The sequence below is a fragment of the Homo sapiens genome, chromosome 1, assembly GCF_000001405.40.
Source record: "Homo sapiens chromosome 1, GRCh38.p14 Primary Assembly".
NCBI lineage: Eukaryota > Metazoa > Chordata > Mammalia > Primates > Hominidae > Homo > Homo sapiens.
This window is the reverse complement of record NC_000001.11, coordinates 248,435,916-248,455,983: the sequence shown is the minus strand read 5'-3', so window position 1 is coordinate 248,455,983 and position 20,068 is coordinate 248,435,916. Positions and strand designations below refer to the sequence as shown.

General features: G+C 40.3%; 1 protein-coding gene and 1 pseudogene across 2 annotated transcripts, besides 1 other annotated feature; both read right to left on the bottom strand.

Moving 5' to 3' along the window:
- Window positions 1-258: 258 nt before the first annotated feature.
- Window positions 259-10,347, bottom strand: OR2T2 (olfactory receptor family 2 subfamily T member 2). The gene is made up of 4 exons (NM_001004136.2): window positions 10,315-10,347; window positions 9,173-9,395; window positions 6,592-6,790; window positions 259-3,208 (listed from the first exon to the last, which is right to left on the bottom strand). The coding sequence occupies exon 4, from the start codon at window positions 3,184-3,186 to the stop codon at window positions 2,212-2,214; it is 975 nt and encodes a 324-aa protein (NP_001004136.1). The 5' UTR covers window positions 3,187-3,208; window positions 6,592-6,790; window positions 9,173-9,395; window positions 10,315-10,347; the 3' UTR covers window positions 259-2,211.
- Window positions 2,697-2,898: a silencer, noted in NCBI's record as "fragment chr1:248616387-248616588 (GRCh37/hg19 assembly coordinates)". NCBI's record gives its function as "represses an EF-1alpha promoter that drives an FKBP-Casp9 reporter gene in an ReSE screen in K562 erythroleukemia cells {active_cell/tissue: K562}" and the evidence as "EXISTENCE:reporter gene assay evidence [ECO:0000049][PMID:32094911]".
- Window positions 10,348-11,667: 1,320 nt separating the features above from the next.
- Window positions 11,668-19,625, bottom strand: OR2T7 (olfactory receptor family 2 subfamily T member 7 (gene/pseudogene); annotated as a pseudogene). Its single transcript, NR_172522.1, has 2 exons — window positions 19,356-19,625; window positions 11,668-14,806 (listed from the first exon to the last, which is right to left on the bottom strand). The product of NR_172522.1 is annotated as an olfactory receptor family 2 subfamily T member 7 (gene/pseudogene), transcript variant 1, non-coding (transcript).
- Between the last annotated feature and the right edge of the window lie 443 nt (window positions 19,626-20,068).

Below are 20,068 nucleotides of genomic sequence, written 5' to 3'. Positions count from 1 at the left end.
ACAGAAAAGCACACACATCAACAGTGGAAAGATTGATAAATCACCAGGAAAAGAACACGTTGATGTAACCACCATGAAATTTGTTAAATAGACTCAAACATTGAATAAGTCACCTCCTTCCATGCCCCGATCACTAATGTCCATGATATCCCTAGAAACTTGTCAAAATGCATTTCGCTTATTGCTTCAGGTATACTCTTGAAATGTCTGTCAATGTTAGAGTTAAATATTCTAGTTAAATATGCAAAGAATTAATCTTGGAAACATAAGAATAAAAGTCCTAATTTTTAATACATAGCAACTGAGGAAATGGGAAAGAAAACACATATCCCAGGATAGAGCACAAATGCAATGTGAACTGAAGGAGTTTTGTAGAGGGAAGATCGAGAAGGTGCTAGCTAAGGCAGGAGAATGGAGAATATGGAGGGCATTAGTGCAGAGACACAAAAGAATAAAATGTGAATGGAGCTGAATTGAAATAACACCGAGGATATTTCATAAATGAATCCTGGTCTGTTTCTTCACTTAATCCCTCCAGGACATTCTTCCATCTCTTTTCCATGTGTTTGATTTCAGGGTAAAGATCAAATTATTAGGAACCTTCTGAATGAAAAGCCACCTAGGGGTTAGCATATTGAAGGGAATATTCTTTATCTACGTCAGCAACAATGGAGGAAACATTTTTCCTTCTATCTGTGTTGACACTAGAACAACATAAGGCTGAGTAACCTTTGCTTAGTCTTTGTCAACTATGTAACCGCTCTGTCCAATGTTTTCTAAGCCTCGTATCAACAAAGAAAATAAACACCAGGTCCGTCAATATTTTTTATGTCTCATATTTCAGGACCTTACACACAGGAGAAACTAAAGTTACATGAATGGTGGGGTCAGTGTAGTCTTTGCTTAGTTAGTATTCCACCAAAGTTACACATCTATCAAAGCACCACACCTAACTCCAACTAATTACAAAAATACTTGTCTTCAGCATATCAATGAAGATGTTGAGAATAAGAAAATTGAGCAACTTATTCCACGGGAACTAAGTTAGCTAATAAAATGTCTTGGTTTATTCATTCTACATTTATCTATTAACAATTTGAGCATAAATGGCAGTTTTGTAGGTTTTTGGCCATGTAACAATCTTAATGGCAGAGTCAATTTTCAATCAATGAATCAATATTTCCAGGAATATATTGGACTCCATGTGAATAAAGGCAGGGCAAGTATTTAATTTCAGAGGTAAGTGATAACATTCATAAAATGTAACTAAGAACATGGAACCAAAAATAGTATCACCTTCCTAAATGTTTTCTAATAAAATTGCTACACATTTAGCACTAGAAAATATTTTACTTGTATTGAATGTTTGAAATTAAGTCATCAAGGAGGTGGCAAATGCTCCTTCCAATTTCCATTCAAAAGTTGGTCAGCAATACAGACAGACAGGCAGGACTCATGATCACAGGTTAACAATAGAGACAGGCAGGACTCAATCACGTGTTAGCAATACAGACAGGCAGGACCCATGATCACACGTTAGCAATACAGACAGGCAGGACCCATGATCACACGTTAGCAATACAGACAGGCAGGACTCATGGTCACACGTTAGCAATACAGACAGGCAGGACTCATGGTCACACATTAGCAATATAGACAGGAAGGACTCACGATCACACGTTAGCAATACAGACACAGAAGGACTCATCACACGTTAGCAATACAGACAGGCAGGACTCATGATCACACGTCAGCAATACAGGCAGGCAGGACTCATGATCACACGTTAGCAATACAGACAGGAAGGACTCATGGTCACATGTTAACATGGGCACTTCCAAGAGCTGCTTGGCGTGCCATGAATGGTTTGTAGGGCTACTTGACTGAGAATGCCCTCTGGAAATGTTTGTGAATCCAGTTGAACAAAGTTGACTAATGCGGAGATGCTCACCAACTTCGCTACTGTTCCTAAGTAATCCTTGCAACAGGATGATTTTGCCTGTTAATTTTGAATTGCTGAAAGTGACACTGAACATTCTTCAGAACCAATACCATATTTTCTGTAATAGCTGCGTTATTGGCCGCAGCACCGCAGATGTTTGCGCTAGTCCTTGCTAGTCCTTCCTGATCAGTCACCACCCCTGATGCTCTGGGAGTCCCCGCTAATCCTTCCCGATCACAGTCACCACTCTGATGCTGTGGGAGTCCCTGCTAGCCCTTCCTGATCACAGTCGCCACCCTGATGCTCTGGGAGGAACCACATCTCCCTAGTACTTTCCTCAGAGCTGCAGCCACATCTTTATTCCTCAAGCTGTAGATGAGTGGGTTGAGCATGGGGGTGAGGATGGTGTAGAAGGCAGACACCACTTTATCTTTCTCTGGAGTGTGGTAGGAGTGGGGCAGCACGTTGGTGTAGAAGGCTGCCCCGTAGAAAACGCTCACCACCATAATGTGGGAGGAACACGTAGCAAAGGCTTTGCGCCGGCCCTCAGCAGAGTTCATCCTGTGGACAGTCAGGAGGATGTGCGTGTAGGAGACAGAGATGACAGATAGAGGGATAAGCAGCATCAGCACGCAGCAGGCATACATCAGGGTCTCATAGAGTGACGTGTCTGTGCAAGACAACTTCAGCACGGCTGGGATCTCACAGAAAAAGTGATTGATCTCTCGGGATCTACAGAAGGGGAAACTCATAGTGACAGGAGTCAGCATGAACCCATCCAAGGAACCACCAACCCAGGAGCCGACCACCATGAATAAGCAAACCCTGCGGTTCATGAGGAGAGGGTACCGTAGAGGGTTGCACACAGCCACATAGCGGTCATAGGCCATGAGACCCAGCAGGAAGAATTCCCCTCCAATCAGGGTCAGGTAGAGGAAGATCTGAACTGCACAGCCCAGGAAGGAAATGGTCTTGTCCTTGGACAGGAGGTCCTGGAGCATCTTGGGGACAGTGATACAGATGTAGATGGTATCCATGATGGAGAGCTGGCTGAGCAAGAAGTACATGGGTGTGTGGAGGCGGGAGTCCATGTGGATGAGCAGAATCATGACCAAGTTGGCTGTTATAGCCACCACAAAGATGGAGAAGACTATTGCAAAGAGAAGCCCGGGGAAGGCAGGATGGGTGATGAGGCCTGTGAGGACGAAGTTAGTGGAGTTCTGGAGAAGACCCTCCATGCCCATGGTCCATGACAAGCTCCTTGGGCTGTAAAGGCAGAAATCTGGCAGCTTATTTAACGACCTGATATGTAGGAAGAGCCCACCAGGAATAGTATGTCAGAAGCAGCGTGAGATCAAGAAAAGATCACCTACTTCAGGATCATTTGAAATCCTGGGTTTCAGTATTAATGATCTGTATGATATTGGACAGAAAATTAATCTCAACTCAATTTCATCATCTGTGAAAGGTCATCATAGTTCTGTACTCTACAGGCTGGATGTGAGATGTAAATGTAATTCATACAGTACCTGGTTTAGAATCTGATTTTTACTTTGAACTATCTTCTGAATACATTTCATAATCTTATCACTTTTAGATTGAAAGTTTTCTGAGGGTGGTTACTGTGCCTTATTTCCCATTTCGCCTAGCGAAATGATTTGAATTTAAATTGCTCTCTGCATCTCCATCGAGATGATTGTACTAGAGTCATCCACAGACGTCTATTTGTGACTTAAATTGATAGAAAACATCTAGATAACTGACTTTTTTGGCTGCTGTTGTTACTGAACAGCTTTATGAAAGTCAGGAACATCAAAGCAGTACAGATGACCTCATTTGGGGTCAGGAGCCACACTGTCTTGTGGTTAGACTTTTGTCCTGCAAAAGGAGTTCATCTTTTAGGCATGGACTGCTGTGAGAACTTGTGTCTATTTGTTCTCACAGAATAATTTGGGGATCATAAATCTGGCAGGACAACCACCACAAACTGCTTCAGAACAGGGCTTTAGTTTCGTTATCCTGGTGGTCTTTCCAGTTGACAATGAATTCTGCTAAAATTTAGATGCTGCATCATAGAATTCAATCATGACCTCATCTTAAAATATTGTTTAGCCAAAATGTTAGAGTTTCTCTGACAGAGTGGCATCCTGAACCTGTCCTAATATTATATCATCCTAGTAATCCACTGCTACTTGGGTTTTTTCCTCAAGTTTATTTCTCTACCATTTTACTGATCCTTCATGTTTATAAGTAAAAATAACTACAGTCGGGTGCAGTGGCTCCCACCCGTGATCCTAGCACTTTGGGTGGCCGAGGCAGGCAGATCACTTGAGGTCAGGACTTCGAGACCAGCCTGGCCAACATGGTGAAACCTCATCTCTACTAAAAATACAAAGATTAATCGGGCATGGTGGCAGGTGCCTGTACAATCCCAGCTACTCAGGAGGCTGAGGAAGGAGAATCGCTTGAACTTGAGAGGCGGAGGTTGCAGTGAGCTGAGATCGTGCCATTGCACTCCAGCCTGGGGGACAAGAGTAAGACTTTGTCTCAAAAAACAAAACAAGAAAACAAAAACTATAGATGGTAAAGAAATTTCTGAACTCAGACGCGACACAGCAGTATCAAACATTCCTTGAATCAATGGAATGAATTCTCATGCTTTTTTGAGTAATATGAATGTGTGTCCCTTTTATATGTTCAGGAATACTGAGGGATGAATTTTTCTTTATTAGATTATGGTGTATTTCTTCTCATTTTAGTGACAGGATTACTGAAGAAACTTGTTTTCTGTCAAACGTTTTGGCCACCAATACTACAAATGTATCTGAATCTTTTGGTTCTAGAATAGTCAAAATTTACAGTCCCTGAAGCATCAAGGAATAAACTCTCCTTATGTTGAAGCAAAAACAATAGCAACAGTAGAGTTTTCCTTCTTAGTGCTCAGAGATGGAGATATGAGTAATAGGCCTAAAAGATGAATAAACATCCAAAGGGAGAAAGAAAAAAAAGCAATTTTTGTGTTGGTCTGTGCTGAAACTTCAGTTTGTCACACCTTGGTTGAGGAGAAAAAAATACATGAGCATCAAATATTAACTCCTGTCAAGCGTGATAAAAGTCAGCTACTTTTGCCTTCTCTAACAGGTGAAAGATTTTCTTGTGATAGCCACAGCTTCGAATCATGGGTCAAGAGACTATTTAAATATACAATTCCATTTGCAGTGGCTTTTGCAATAGCTTGTTGGAAATTAAAAATATTAATCTCGCAGACAGTAAGTTTGTCTTGACCCACATCTATTGTTTCAGTTAAATGCATTATGGATATTATACATTAATTACTATAGTGTTAGGTTAGCTGACAATCATCCTTTTAAAAATATACTTTGAGGAACTGAAATAGGCAAGAATGAGACAAACGAAAATGACCTAAGAAAATAACCAATTACTTTTGAATCAGAACATGAACCAGAGCATTTTGTTTCATGTAAATAATCAGACTCCACAAGGTATTCAAAGAGGAGGTAAAACACTATTGCCTCAAATGTCTATGATAAAAGGATAAGAACGTTTTCAACTCCTAGATCTTATCTTACTGTAGGATCCCAGAAGAGGAGAGTAAAAAAGCTGAAACAGGAGAAAGATATGATTTTAGCCACCTCATTTTTATACAACCGAGACCGTGTTAAAAAAAAAAAAAGAGGTTCCTTGTGAGTGTGAGCGTTGTGTGTACATGTGTGTGTAGTGTGTTCATATGTGAGTGTGTGAGCATGGTATGTGTGGTGTGTGCATCTGTGAGTGGGTGGGGATATGTGTAGGGAAAAGGCCCTGCTAAAGAGCAGAACTACACTGCTTGGCACAAACGAGCAATTCACCCATTTCAATGAAGCCAATATTTAGAACCAAATGTGACATGTTCAAATGCATGCCTAATGTTATTCCATAGGCTACTGGGCATTGCAAGTAGACAGGGAAAATATCTGCATTATGGACAAAACATGTCATCAGTTACTTCTGTTTACATCAGTTCCGAGCATCTACATTTTAACATTAGAGTTGATGCTATTTAGCATTACGATGTGTGGTTTGACTTATTCACACATACAAGATCCTAGATTCCATTCCCCATCAGGTCATCTTTCCCTCACTATCATCATTCTCCACTCTAAGACACTTAGGTTCCCCTTCATCAACTAGTCTTTCCAAAAAAAAAAAAAAAGAAAAAGAAAAAGAAAAAGAAAAAGCTTTTATTTGCGTGATCAAAGCTTCAGGCTCTTCAAGGCGGTGAATGATTTCTCCCCAGTGCAGATTAGAACATAACCCAGAACCCCTGACCCCCAGGACCAGTTATAACATCACCCAGTGTTGCAACATAATCATCTGGCAGGAATGGGAGGGTGGGAAGATCAAGCCGAGAGGTGGAGGACACCAAGCACAGGAGCTCCACATCTGTTATCTGCACACTTGGGGCTGATGGATGAGGGATGAGTGAGCTCGCCAAGAGGCATTTATTCTACCTGTGGTCTGCCACATGGAGAAGAGGGAAAGGAGAATCTCTGCAGGGTGCCAGGTGATCAAAGCTGTATGTTTCAGGACAACAGCCCTGGAGTTGTTCTGGGAGAAGCCATAGAAATCAAGAACAATTGGTGACTCACCGAAAATTGAAGAGATCTCCAAGAGAAGTCACAGGTTCTTCTACCAGGGAGAAGAGCTTAGAGCAATTCATTCTGACACCCCTTTCCGGGAATTCAGCATGACTAGAGCTATGAGAAGTATCTGCCAGTGTCCTTTCTGTGGCAATAAAGCTGCTAACCAGAACTGATCTTCTCCACTTGACACAACGTACCTGTAAAGCTTGAAAGGGAAGGGTTTTCCATTCCATCCTTAGAGACAGAATGCCTGAAGCACAAACACATTCCGTGTTCAAAACACTCACCTAGCACTGGGTGAGCTATGAAGATTGATAGAACTGACAATATTCTTAAGGGGCACATAGTTAAGTTTGATTAATGTATCATATCAAAAATCCTCATAGAAACAGATCATTTTAAGTCTAAAGTGGGGATTTCTAAAAATGAAAATATATTGGGGACTTTTTAAAGGTGTTTAGCCACAAATAACAGCTAATGCCATTGTGCTTTGCTCAGCTGTCAAATTGCTCTGGGGATGACACGCATAGTTACTTCTCCAGACCTCAGTGTTCTTTCAGTAAAAGAATGGCATGTCACCAACATGTTACTAATCCTAAGTGCCACATAGCTCTAAGAGTCATCGATTATTTGTTCCTGAATGAGAAAAAGGGGGCCAAGGATAGTATATTGGGATCTTTCTGCTTTGATTAAAGCTTATGAGAGAAGATAATGGTGTGGAAGGCACTAAGAGACGGAGGAAGAGAAACAGGAAGTTTGGTATTCCCCAAACCATAAACCAATAGGGCTTTACGTGTGCCAGGTACTTTAGAAGTTTTACATACATGAAGTCATAGCAAACCAGAAGATGCTATGCATCAGTTTGAGTAGTGGACAAAGGTACAGTTTCCCCTTATCAGTGGGAGACAGTTTTCAAGACCCCCACTGGATATCTGGAACTGCAGACAGTACTGAGCCCTATATATATACCATATTTTATCCCATGCATACATACCTATGATCAAGTTGAATTTATAAGTTAGGCACAGTAAGAGATTAACAATAATAAAATAGAATACCTAAGACAATATACTGTGGCTATAACTTTTTCAGTTTGATGTGACAGCAAAACTTGCATAATTTTTTCCTTCATGATTTCAAAGATAAAGTTTTTCTTAATATAGATCTTGGCAAAGTCAGCTTATGAGGGTTTCTCTCTCCTTAAGTCAAGAACTTTCACCTTTTTAGTTAAAGCAAGCACCTTACAGCCTCTCTTTGGCACATCTAAATCGCCAGCTTCACTAACTCCATCTCTTTGGAGCCATTAAGAAAAACTGAGTTACTTGAACACAAGCACTGAGTCCGCCACAGTCGATTTGATAACCTAGACAGCTACTGAATGACTCAGGGGGTAGCATAGACAGTGTGAATCAACTACACAGAGGGATGATATTTCCACCACACTACTCAAAATGGTGGGCAATTTAAAATTTGAGATTTTTCATTTAATATTTTCTACACATGGTAGATAGCAACCTGGCGGATTGCAGGTTAACTAAAACTATGGAAATGAAAGTGTTAAAGAGAGGAATACCATGTCAGAATTCTTTACCTCAAAGGTTCAACCCTAGGGCTAGAGACTGAAAGGATCTTAAAGCATGAAACTTTTAAAGAGCATCTAAGTGATCACTGCTTTGAAAATAGTGGATCACAAGAACCAGGAGAAGACAGGAGTCAGTTCAGTTAAACAGTGCAATAGTAGAGAGGGAAACCGGTCTGATTCCGAAACTCGAGACTGAAGGAGAGAGGACATGATCAGAGACAATGTAAATAATGTCAAAAGGCTCGCAAATGGGAATTAGCAGGCACTAGGGGTGGAAGAGAGAGGGGAGAGTCCAGTCTAACTACAGCTGAAGAGCCCGTGGAGAGCTGAGGTGTGTGGGGTGGAGTGCGGCTGGAAAGTGAAGGCAGGGAGACCAGAACTCAGCGTCGAGAAATAAGGTGCAAATGGGAGTTGTTTCAGTCAGAAAGTTACATGCTGAAATAAGGTACTTATGAAAGATCCACCTGGCAGTTTTAGTCTTGAAAGCAAGATTAATATTAATTGCTACTCATAAGTGTTCATAGCCACAGTGGGCTTTGGCCAGGAACTCCTTTTCTTCTTCTACCTACACAAGCTACTCCTGTACTCCGTCTGCTTTTATGAATGAACGCATTTGGACCTTGCTTCCTACATTAATCAGATTTTATCCCCTTCTCTCCACAGCAACGTAGTATCCAATGATGTGAATTTCTCTTTTCCCTTACCTTATCTCCAGTTCTAATTACATACTGCCTTAGTTACCACCCCCCTTTATCTGCCTATTTATTTAAATGGTAACTGTTTTCATTCATGGAAAAGTAGTCTACTTTCCCTCCCATCCCAACTGACAATTTGGAAATTTTCAGTGTGGAAAATTAGGCATAAGATAGAAGTTTTCTTGGCTTTAAAAAAAAAAAAAAAATCAGCACTATAATGGCATGTAGGTGAACATTTACTGAACACTTACTATGCCAGAAGTTAGTTCAGTTTGAAGAATACAGGTTTTAATGCTACATGCCAACTTACCTAAACTACATTGTCAAGGATATCACCAATGGACAAGAAAGAAAGAAGTACATCTGGTTTCCTGGAGCATTGAGAGTAAAAGGTCTAAATTCCAAGCTGCCAGCAGGAGGGCTGTGATGTGGATGTGCAGGGGAATGCTTCTGGGCAGCAGTGTCAGTTCGTGTGGTGGCAAATAGAAATCAAAGGATCTGGCATATGGCCCATCCAGTCCACCCTGCTAACGCTGTGGAAGAGGAAATGGAGAGTAAGGGAATGGAGGATTACACAGGAGCAGCAGAGGCGAGGTGAGGCGAGGCGAGCCCATCTAGTCCACCCTACTAATACTGTGGAAGAGGAAATGGAGAGTAAGGGCATGGAGGATTACACAGGAACAGCAGTGGTGAGGTGAGGTGAGCTGAAGCAAGGGGCAGACACCTGCAACTATAAACACAATGCACTCATTATTATACCCCTACAGCCTGAGCTTCCAACATGTCCACATCTCCCCCTGGGCTCCAGTTACTCAGCTCAACAGGCTTTTATATGCCATGCTAAGATGGCTTCTAGGAGACCTCTAATAGTTTTATTAAAAAAAAAGATCTTAAGGCACACGTGGATGCCTTATGGGTTCAATAAAAGAGGAAGGAGGTTAAAATGAAAAAAAAAAATCATGATTTCCCTCCAAGCATGAAGTCTTCAGCCACACCTAAATGCATATGAACGGAGCAATTAATCATTTAACTTAAAATGTAAATTAAAATTTTAACAAAATATTCAGAGGGCAATCTATGCTTATCCAATAGTATGCACCCCTGCTACCAATTAATTCTGAAACTTTCTCATTGTGAATACCAAGCACATTCTTCTAACTGTCGGCTCTTACATGCCATTTTCCTTCAGTAAATCTATTCATGTTCTTCTAAACTATTACATTTCCCTTAGCTTCCCACGTTTCATGCTAAATGCCCTTTTCCAGTTGTCTGCTTGCCAGATAGTGAATATATGTTATTTATGCTTAATCTTGAGAAGACCACTGCCTCAGTTATTAGCAGATAAGCTCACAGTAGTAACGTGGCCTTCTAATAGTTACAGAGTAATACCTGAAGAAAACATCCCAGTATCTGGGTGATGTTCTGTTTTTCATGAAGATCTAAGGATCCTACCTCAGAGAAGCTGGGTCCAAGTCTTTCTAAAGCAGTAGTGGAATGTCAGACTTCTTATTAAATACATTGTGTAGGGGTGAGGCTAGGTCAAAAAGTCTTTTCACTAATAGAGTCCCACATCCCCCAGGAAGAATTCCTGGGTTAGCAATTAATCCAAGTTGACTGGGTTTACCATGAACTTTAGAAGCAGCCTGTCCTTTCTTGCAGAGGGTGCATTGTTTTCCCAAGTGAAGGACTGGAATCGTTTCTTGGTATTTCATCATGAAAATGTCTTACTGAATCTTGGCATCTCTCCAGAGAGATTTTAAAGGCAGTGATGTGGGGATAAGAGCCTCGCTCTAAATTGAAAATTAGATTTTAAATTTCTTTAGAAATAGAGGCTATGACAAACTAAAAAAGCTCTTTCTCAAAAGTCACTGGCCTCTTGTTTGGGGAGAAATCTTTAAAGTTATAAATAAGTGTGAACCAAAAAGCATTGGAGCCAAGTCTCAATCAATGTAGATGTTTCTGGTGCCAAGGTTGAGGATGCACCTGGGAAAAAGGAACACAATATGACAGGAGCATCTGAGATTTGTGCTTCTTCCAAAGACGGTTGGGAGACTTCAATATTTAAAAGGGAAACAGTGGGCATTAGAGGAAAAAAAAGAAAAAGGAAGTGTGAATAAATGAAGTAGTTTCCTTCTTTGCAGGCTTTAATCAGTGTTGACTGAATTCGCACTTTAGATGTGACAGGAGAGGGTTTAGAGGAACACTCAACTGGGCGTTCATCTCCTGCTCAGTGAATCTGGATTGTATATAAGATAAGGTACACAGTAGAGGAAGCAGTCAAATATGCATTTGTTTCAGGGGAGTGGAGGGATGACTCCCAGGCCTGTCTTTGTCCACTGCCTGTCAAGATAAGCCATTCATTTACATTGTCAGCATGACAATTCAAGAGAATGGTTTTCGGGTAAAGATCTTTGGGCCAGCAAGGAATTTCCTTGCTAGCAGATTGTGAGGGAGGTCCCTTGGGGAGGTATGTAGCCTTCTACCTGTGTAGCTGTCCATTCCGGAACAGTATGGAATCTGTAGCCATACAGTCGGGAACAGATATGGAATATAGTTTTGCATGACAGAGTTCCCAAGCTTGACTTTTCCCTTTGGCTTAGTGAGTTTGGGTCCCAAGAGATTTTCCTTCTACTTTCTCCTATCTTCTATTTTCACAAAAGTGGCATTTGTCACTTAGGTTAAGTGTTTTTCAGAATTATTTGTCTTACGTGTACTACAGAAGAATATTGACCTCAGTAGGAATAAAGGAGACATAAGAAAAATGATGGAAATAACGCAATTGGTAGAGAAAAAAGTGAGGGTAATACAAGTTATGCATTTTCTAAAGTTTTCACCAGAGCACATTAAGATATTTAAACATTAGGAAAATTGAACTTCCTAACATTTATTTCTCTAATGGGGAAAAGAAGGTGGTCTTATTACTAAAGTTCTGCTTCCCAAACAACATCATTGAATGCTTTTCATGCATTAAGTCAGCTAATGGGCAACATTACTTATGATTGCTAGTCATCACAAATCCATTGGACACATACCTTATACCCTCTGTTGCAGATAAGCAGAAAACCCATACCCTTTTTCAGCCTTTAGAATGTTATTCAATAATTCCTGAATATTTTATATGTCATCCATAAATAAAGTTCTCCAACTAACTATTGGATTGATTGGATACACTCTTCCCTCTGGTGTGATGTGTCTTTCTCCAGAGCCACAAATGGGTTACAACCAATATTGATCCTCTCAACCCTGGATTGGTCTTCAGTGCCCGATTTGGCTACAGCCACAGGGGAGTTGATTTTGCTGTCAACAGCCACATCAGTTTTCCTCAAGGTGCCATATCACTAATTTTTATAGTTATGTCATGAAAGCGTTTGAGAAGTGCTGCTGTATCAGTTTGGAAAATTGTTAATACAAGCCCAACTTAAGGAAAAAACAGACCTGTGAACAGTGTATTGATTGGTATTAGTTTCTAACTCATGTTCATGTGTCACAATACTTTGTCTAGTGTTGAACTTAGTTATCTTATATAATTTAGACTTTTTACAAGAGGTATTTTGTGGTGTCTCAATCTTCCATGTTTCTTATTCACTTTTTCTCTTTTCCTTCCCTTTAACTCTCTTCAGGAAGTAATCCTTTTTATATCATCAGTAGGTATAGACTTGGTTGCTACAAGCCAAGACTGACTCCCACAGTTTGGAGTTTAGATTGTTTTAATTTCAGATAATTCTGCCTGCCCACTCTCACTCCATTCCAAAGTGCCACTTGACATTTTTGGGTGAATCTGTATTTGGCAAAACCTTGCTAGCTCCTATAAGACTTAATTTTTAAGTGTTCTATATTTCTAAAGATATTGGCCCTCTGCTCATGTCTCTGAAAAACAGACTATTAATCCATTTTCACACTGCTATAAAACACCCCAAACTGGGTAATTTATGAAGAGGTTAAGTGGGCTCAGTTCCACATGGCTGGGGAGGCCTCACAGCCAATGGTGGAAGGTGAAGGAGAAGCAAAGGCATGTCTTACATGGCAGCAGGCAAGACTCATGTGCAGGGGAACCACCCTTTGTAAAACCATCAGATCTCGTGAGACTTATTCATCATGAGAACAGCATGGGAAAAACCCACCCCCAGGATTCAATTAACTCCCACCAGGCCCCTCCCACTACACATGGGGATTATAGGAGCTACAATTCAAGATGATATTTGGGTGGGGAAACAGCCAAACCATTATCAGAGACACATTCTAATAAGTTCTTAACTGGAGGTTCTGGCAAGAAAAATATGCTGAGATTGCCAAGATCTACAGTAAGAATGAATCTTCTTTGAAATTGTGTAGGAGGAAAAACACATTTGTGGTAATTTTGCTGTCACACCTCAAACTGCAAAACCTACAGCCACAGTGTGTGATAAGTGCTTAGGTAAGAAAGAAAACGTATTACATTTATGGTAGAAGATGAGCAAATATGTTGTGACTGACAGCAGTCAGGTTCTATAGTTCTATACTATGGTTTCAGGCTTCCCCCAAAAGACTTAGAACACAGCCTGAGGATAAGATGGTGACTGCTATATTTGAAATATAATATTTGAGTTGATTCTTTATAATGGTCAATGGACAGACTGTCTAAAGGGGAAAAGTCGAGAGAAGTCAGGGAAGTAGTTGAAGATGACCGTTTTTGCCATGACTGAGCAGAGCCAGAAACAGGCTAGTCCATGATTTTTAGTGGAATACACACCTTGTTAAGAGCTCATGGGTGACTACTAAACCTCAGCTTTATGCCTACCCCAGCCCAAACTGTTCATTGTTCAGAGCCTTCATACCTTTCAAAAAAATGAAATCCTTAAAAATCCCAGGCAGCTTTCCAAATCCCATAAATGCCCCACAGTTGCTGGCATGTGGGTCACTTGTTTCCAGGCAGAGAATATTTAAACTCAAGGGCAATGATAAAGTCTTGTATCCTTCATTTCAAGTCTCTAGCAGCATATGCAATTTGTTTAGAAAGTGGTTACCTTTCCTGAGGACACACACCTCCCAACAACCTTCTGTAGGGCCCCCGTGACATCCTTGTTCCTAAGGCTGTAAATGAGTGGATTGAGCATGGGAGTGAGGATGGTGTAGAAGGCAGATACAGCTTTGTCCTGCTCAGGGGTGTGGTAAGAATGAGGCAGCACGTATGTGTACATGGCAGCCCCATAGAAGAGGCTGACAACCACCATGTGTGAGGAGCAGGTGGCCACAGCCTTTCGCCTCCCCTCTGCCTCGCTCATCCTATAAACAGTAATGAGAATTCTTGTGTAAGAGCCCGAGATCACAGAGAAAGGGATGAGGAGCATCATAATACAGCAGACATACATGGCTGTCTCGTAGGCTGATGTGTCCGTGCAGGAGAGCTTCAGAAGGGCAGGCACCTCGCAGAAGAAGTGGTTGATCTCCCGAGAGGCACAGAAGGGGAACTGCATGGTGACGGGGGTGAGCAAGAAACCATCGATAGACCCTCCCAGCCAGGCTGCCGCCACAATCAACCAGCAGATCTTGCGGCTCATGAGGTCAGGATAGTGCAGAGGGTTGCAGATGGCTACGTAGCGATCACAGGACATGAGTCCTAGGAGGAAGAACTCAGCCCCTGCTAAGGTCAAGTAGAGGAAGTGTTGGGCAGTGCATCCAGCAAAGGAAATGGCTCTCTGGCTCATCACCTGGTCGACCAGCATTTTGGGCACAATGGTGGAAATATACAGGATGTCCCTGAGGGAGAGCTGGCTGAGCAGGAAGTACATGGGGGTGTGGAGGCGGGAGTCTATGTGGATGAGAATGATCTTGACCACGTTGCTGGCTATGGAGGTCACAAAGACCAGGAGAATGAGGGCAAAGAAGCCAGGGGAAACGGGCGTTGCTGAACAAACCCAGAAGGATAAAGTCGGCATACACGGAATAATTGCTCTGCTCCATAGCTCTGTAGGGTACACGAAAGAGATATGATAAAGTTGGAAAGGTATCTGATTTACATAAAACATTATGATGTAGTCATGAAACCAAGGTCAAAATCTTATTTCTTGAAGCTCATAATTTCCCTGAGAGAACTGCCTGAGCAGGATTGTGCTACATCTCATTATACCATCATTGTTCATTTAAGGATTTTCTTGATTTGGTGATTACTATTTAGAGTTCATGATCAAACAATCTTTTTGTTCATGACCATTTATTTCTGTCTTTCGAGTACCACCTTACATTGGTGAGGATGCATATAAGACATAAGAATGGAACCAGCCTGATTCAATAGGATAGGGTGGTGGGGAGGAAAGGAGGATTGTCCACATCCTACACTGCTCTCCTTATACTAGACTCTAGTTCTCACACTTAGAATCCAGTTTGAAGATCACCACGAGTATATATTTGCCTATGGAAGAATAACTGCATTATTTGACCTAATTTACACCATTCTTGACACACTTGTACATTGTAAAATTTGAGTGCTCAACTTACATGTATCAGGTGGAGTATTGCAGAATGAGCCTGTGTTGAATAAAAAGAGCTGAGTTCTGAGAAGTCATCCAAGAATTCATAGGAGGAAAAATCATGGGAGAAAACGTTGAGGGTCAAGTGGTGTTTGCTTTCCTTCTTGCAGCAGCAAACTACCGATTATTAACATACAACTCGTTAAAATGTTAGAATCCCATTTAACTTATGAAAAAATAAACTAGTTTAAGTATTAGAGCTAGTGTATCCCAAAAGAAGGGATCTCTCAAACTTGAAGTTAGATTCTGCATATGTATCCATATCAGTTAAATATTTTACCACAATTTAGGACCACTTATGAGTTATTTGGATAGCTTCTCCCTGCATCATATAGATCTGCACTATCCAGGGTGGTAGCCATGAGGCTTATGAAGCTGTGGAGCCCCTGAAACACGACTGCTCCAAATCAAGATGTGCCATCAGCACAAAGTTAACAATTCAAACACCTGTTAAAAATATATGCAACACGTCTTCTTAAAACTTTATATTATGGTAACTTTTAGATATATTTGGATAATATAGATTAAAATTAGTTTCACCTATTCTTTACATTTTTAATGTGGTTACTAGAAAATTTAGAATTCTCTGTGGCTCCCCTAGGATTTCTACTAGGCAGCACTGGTTAGAGTTATTCCTGGGAATATGACAGCTCCAATTACCTTCATCCAAACAAGTCCTCCAGAATTAAACACCACAAATTAGAATTGAGCCAAAAAATTTAGGTGTGTACCAAATTAGAAAAATGGCTTTACTTGTATATGCATTCACCTGCAAATAGCAGTAAGAACATTAATAACTGATTCGTAAATTTTACATTTCCAAACAACTGTGTAAGATACTAGACCATTCTACAGTTGAAAATGAGGCTTAAGGAAACTTCCCCAAGGAGGAACATTGTTCTTTAAACAGTGACAGTATAATTTGTTCTATGCTGTTTTCCAACAGGACAAAGTAGACATCAATTCATTCCGTAAATATTTCCCGAGAGGCACATTGGGTAAGCCAAAGTTTGATATTCTGAAAGACCCTGAAAGAATGTAAGACATCATCTGTCTTCGAGCCTAGAATTGAGGCACATGAACGTGTGTTGTGTGACCACAGGTGCACTTTCAGAATGGTTTTAAGACCTCAGCAGTTTTGACTTACTTGGTATGTGAACAAAGGACAATAAAAATGATGGAAGCTGCAGCCCACTGGCTGGTAGACAGGAACTTCACACCAGGGCCCCTCAGTACATTCCACCACAACCATGCCACAGTGGATGGATGGAAAACGATGAAAATTCAGATTTTTACTGATGAAACCCACATTATATCCTTATGCATTTTTCAGTTCTCATTCTTGAAATATTACCAGCTTTATGCCAGGGCTTTCCATCAGCTGATTTATAATGTATCTTTATTATTTTAAAAACTGTTAAGCCAGTGGGAAAATTAAAGGCAAACATTTAGTAGCAATTCGTATGATGGAGAGTGCTGAATGCTCACCCAGACCTGGTTGTCCATAATTTAATAAGAACAAGATCCTTGGAGGGCCGTGCTTGTTATTTCACAGTAAATTCAGAGAATGGTGGCTACCTACTGGGGACCAGCCACAGTGACTGCTATTGGTCCACTGGGAATATTAAAGCCCAAGACGAAAAAATTGGTCCAAAAATATCCTTATCAGGGCAGCTGTGTCCTGAACCCTGACCATGAATACTCCTGGCCCTGAAACTTGCTAATGAGACTCTGGGGATCTCCCCAGCTTACTTCACAAAGGGAAAGGGGAGATATGAGTGGCTCCATAACCACTCAGATTTTACAACCATCTTCCAACTCTGGTAGTGTTGATTCATTCACTGTATTTTAAGAGTTACCCAGTATAGCAACATTTAAGAATACTTGGAAAATAAAGGAATCAACTGGATTATACCATGCCCCATGTAATAATTGTCTATGCATAATTCCAAACCTTAGTAAACGTCCAGTTCTATGTATACTTAATATTTAGCACATCTTTCCCAGTCTTTATAGAGACTATTGCTGTGATTGAATATGAGACACTCAGCTTGGTTCACATTCACGTTGTTGAGTTTGCTTATATGCAGTATTATGAGGTGAATTCTCTGGCATAATTCATGGACAATGGTTTACTATGCTTTAGAAGCTTATCACCAAGTTGTTAAATGCTTAACAGTAAGAGAACACACTTGCGGCAGCATCATGCTTGCCCCAGCATTTAGCACTAGTATCGAAACTCACAATATGGATTTGATTATGAAAAAAATTGAACATAGTGTATATTTTGGCTATTTTGATTTTTCATGACCTTTTCTATATAGGTGATTTGTCAAGATTATTAATAAAAAATAAAAATCTATAGACTATTCTTTTGTTCAATTTAGTGCAGCTATTTTGCCCCCCGAGTTACATACATGTAATTGTAACTTTGATGTTTAGGCCAAAAAGTTTTGAAATATTTCAGACATTTTCATTCTGTGTGCTGGATTTTTGAAAAAAAATATTTTCCATCGAGGTATGTGATTAATATACAATTTAAAATTTTTAATGTAATTTTCTATGCACTTAAAATCTTTGGTCTAGACATTAAAACTATGCAACCATTGGTTTATGAGATCAACCATGATAAATTTGTACTTTAAGATCATGCCAGTGAATTCTATCTAATTGGAGTTCTTCAAATAAGCAGGAGTTCAAGTGTGAATGATGAGCAGGAATGACCTAAGTAACAAGGAGAACTGTTGGAAATGTGGGAACACTGTCATGGGTAAAATTAGTTTTCACCCTTGTTGCATGTACAAATTCTGGTATAAAAAGCGAGTACTAAAAATGAGTGCCAGGTTAACCTTAAGACTGTGATAGCGACAGTTAGCTTTGGGAATCTCACCCTTTGCTGTCCATTATGTTTTTCTCTTCAATAGCAGGTCCAGCAGCAGGTAGCCAAGTTTTCTACTTTTTCATTTTTGTTGTCGTTCTGTCAGACCCTGCTCTGCATCAAAGATTGGCACAATTCTTGGTGACCATCTAACTCAGAATACGTTTGAGTGCTAAAAGGCTAAGCTAGACAGGACATGAGGACAACAGGCATAAGAAAGGGAATATCTTGAGAAAACAGGGCTAAATGGTGACCCTGACTATAAGACATTTAATTCTCTGTACAATCAGATTCATTATGTTTCCTCCCCAGCAGTATTTTCACATGAAGTGTCACTTCTAGAAAATGGCTTTTCTTCCACAACTAAAGTAAAATCACTTGGGGAATCTTTAGAACGATAGAGAAGTTTTGATTAAGGCCGAGGGATTGTCTTGAAGCAGACCAAGGGCATGATCACCTTCAGTCTCTACAGAAGTTGAACTGAGTTCTTCCCCTGTCTATTCCTAACCCTTGAAACATTCTTGGCATGTTTAATGTTCACAATGCTACATGACATGGTTTTTAATCAAAGCTGGCTTTATATTCTATCTTCATCACTGATAAGCTTCTGGACGTCTGGCAAGCCACTCACATTCTTTTCAGCTTCTGGGAACTTCTAAGTATTAAGTATGCTGCAATGGTTTCTCGGAGCAGGATATGGAGGGTCTTCCTAACTAAACCATTTTTAGAGATGCTTATGAGGTACCTAACAAGGTGGAATACTACGATTTAGATAAGCTCTTTATAAAGATTTTAAAATTATAGGTGAATATATGTTGCAATGATAAAAACTGTTGGAATCATTATGCAGACAGATCTGCATAGAATTCAAGTAATCTGCTACATTCTGATGTACAGAAAAGATAAGAGTCCATAACTACTAAGAAACGAGATTGAATTATCTAAGATTTGTATATTAGTACTATCCACAAGTATCTGCAGTTCAAAATCAGATGTATCAAACTTCAACATTCTCCAGTATTTCTCTGGTTTGAACCAAAACTTTCTAGTAAGTCCAGAATCTATTTAAAGCATCCTGCGATTGATCAGCATCAAGACTGCAAACTTACCTTACACAGTATCTTCCCCAAACACGATGATCTGAATATTTAGAGAGAAACCTTACAGAACTAAGGTAGTACATGCAATTGTTCAGCATTTCCTTTTATGTAGTAAGTATGGGGAACTAAGAGGCATACATCAGACTTTCTAAACTGGAGGTATTCTATGTTCTGTATTTCAAACTTGTTTTCTGAACTGAAACAGGGGAGTACAGGCAGGGAGAGTATGAATTCAAACAAGAAGGTACAGTGGATTAGGCGTGGGAATTACATCTTGTTGGCAGAAGGATAAGGGTCAGTCCCTAACTTATTGAGACTTTTTAAAATACAGTGATAGGTGAATCCTTTGAAGATCGAGAAATAGAACAGCCTGAATCTGTAAATGCCTAATGTCAGTTGACAGCAGCTGCATTATGCAGGCTGTTAAGATAGAGATCCAGTGACAAATAGAGCTTGCATCATGGTGATGGCTAGTACTCCCATTCAGGAGATACATTGACATCACTGTCTCTGGGGTCCTTGTCCCTAGCCTGCAATTACAGTTCATATAAAATGTGACAGACTCCTTAAGAAAAATGTAACCTCTCAATTTACAAAGTAAACACCCAAGATAAGTCAGGTTGCTGGCAGCTGCAACTTAAATTGCTTTTTTCTCTTTTACTTTGTTCACGACATTGTTTTGAAAGTTTCTCTTTTTACACTTCCAACTTTCAGGCATCTCT

Coding starts and splice junctions, on each gene's coding strand:
- OR2T2 (NM_001004136.2), bottom strand. CDS start 3,186: ATGGGCATGGAGGGTCTTCTCCAGAACTCCACTAACTTCGTCCTCACA.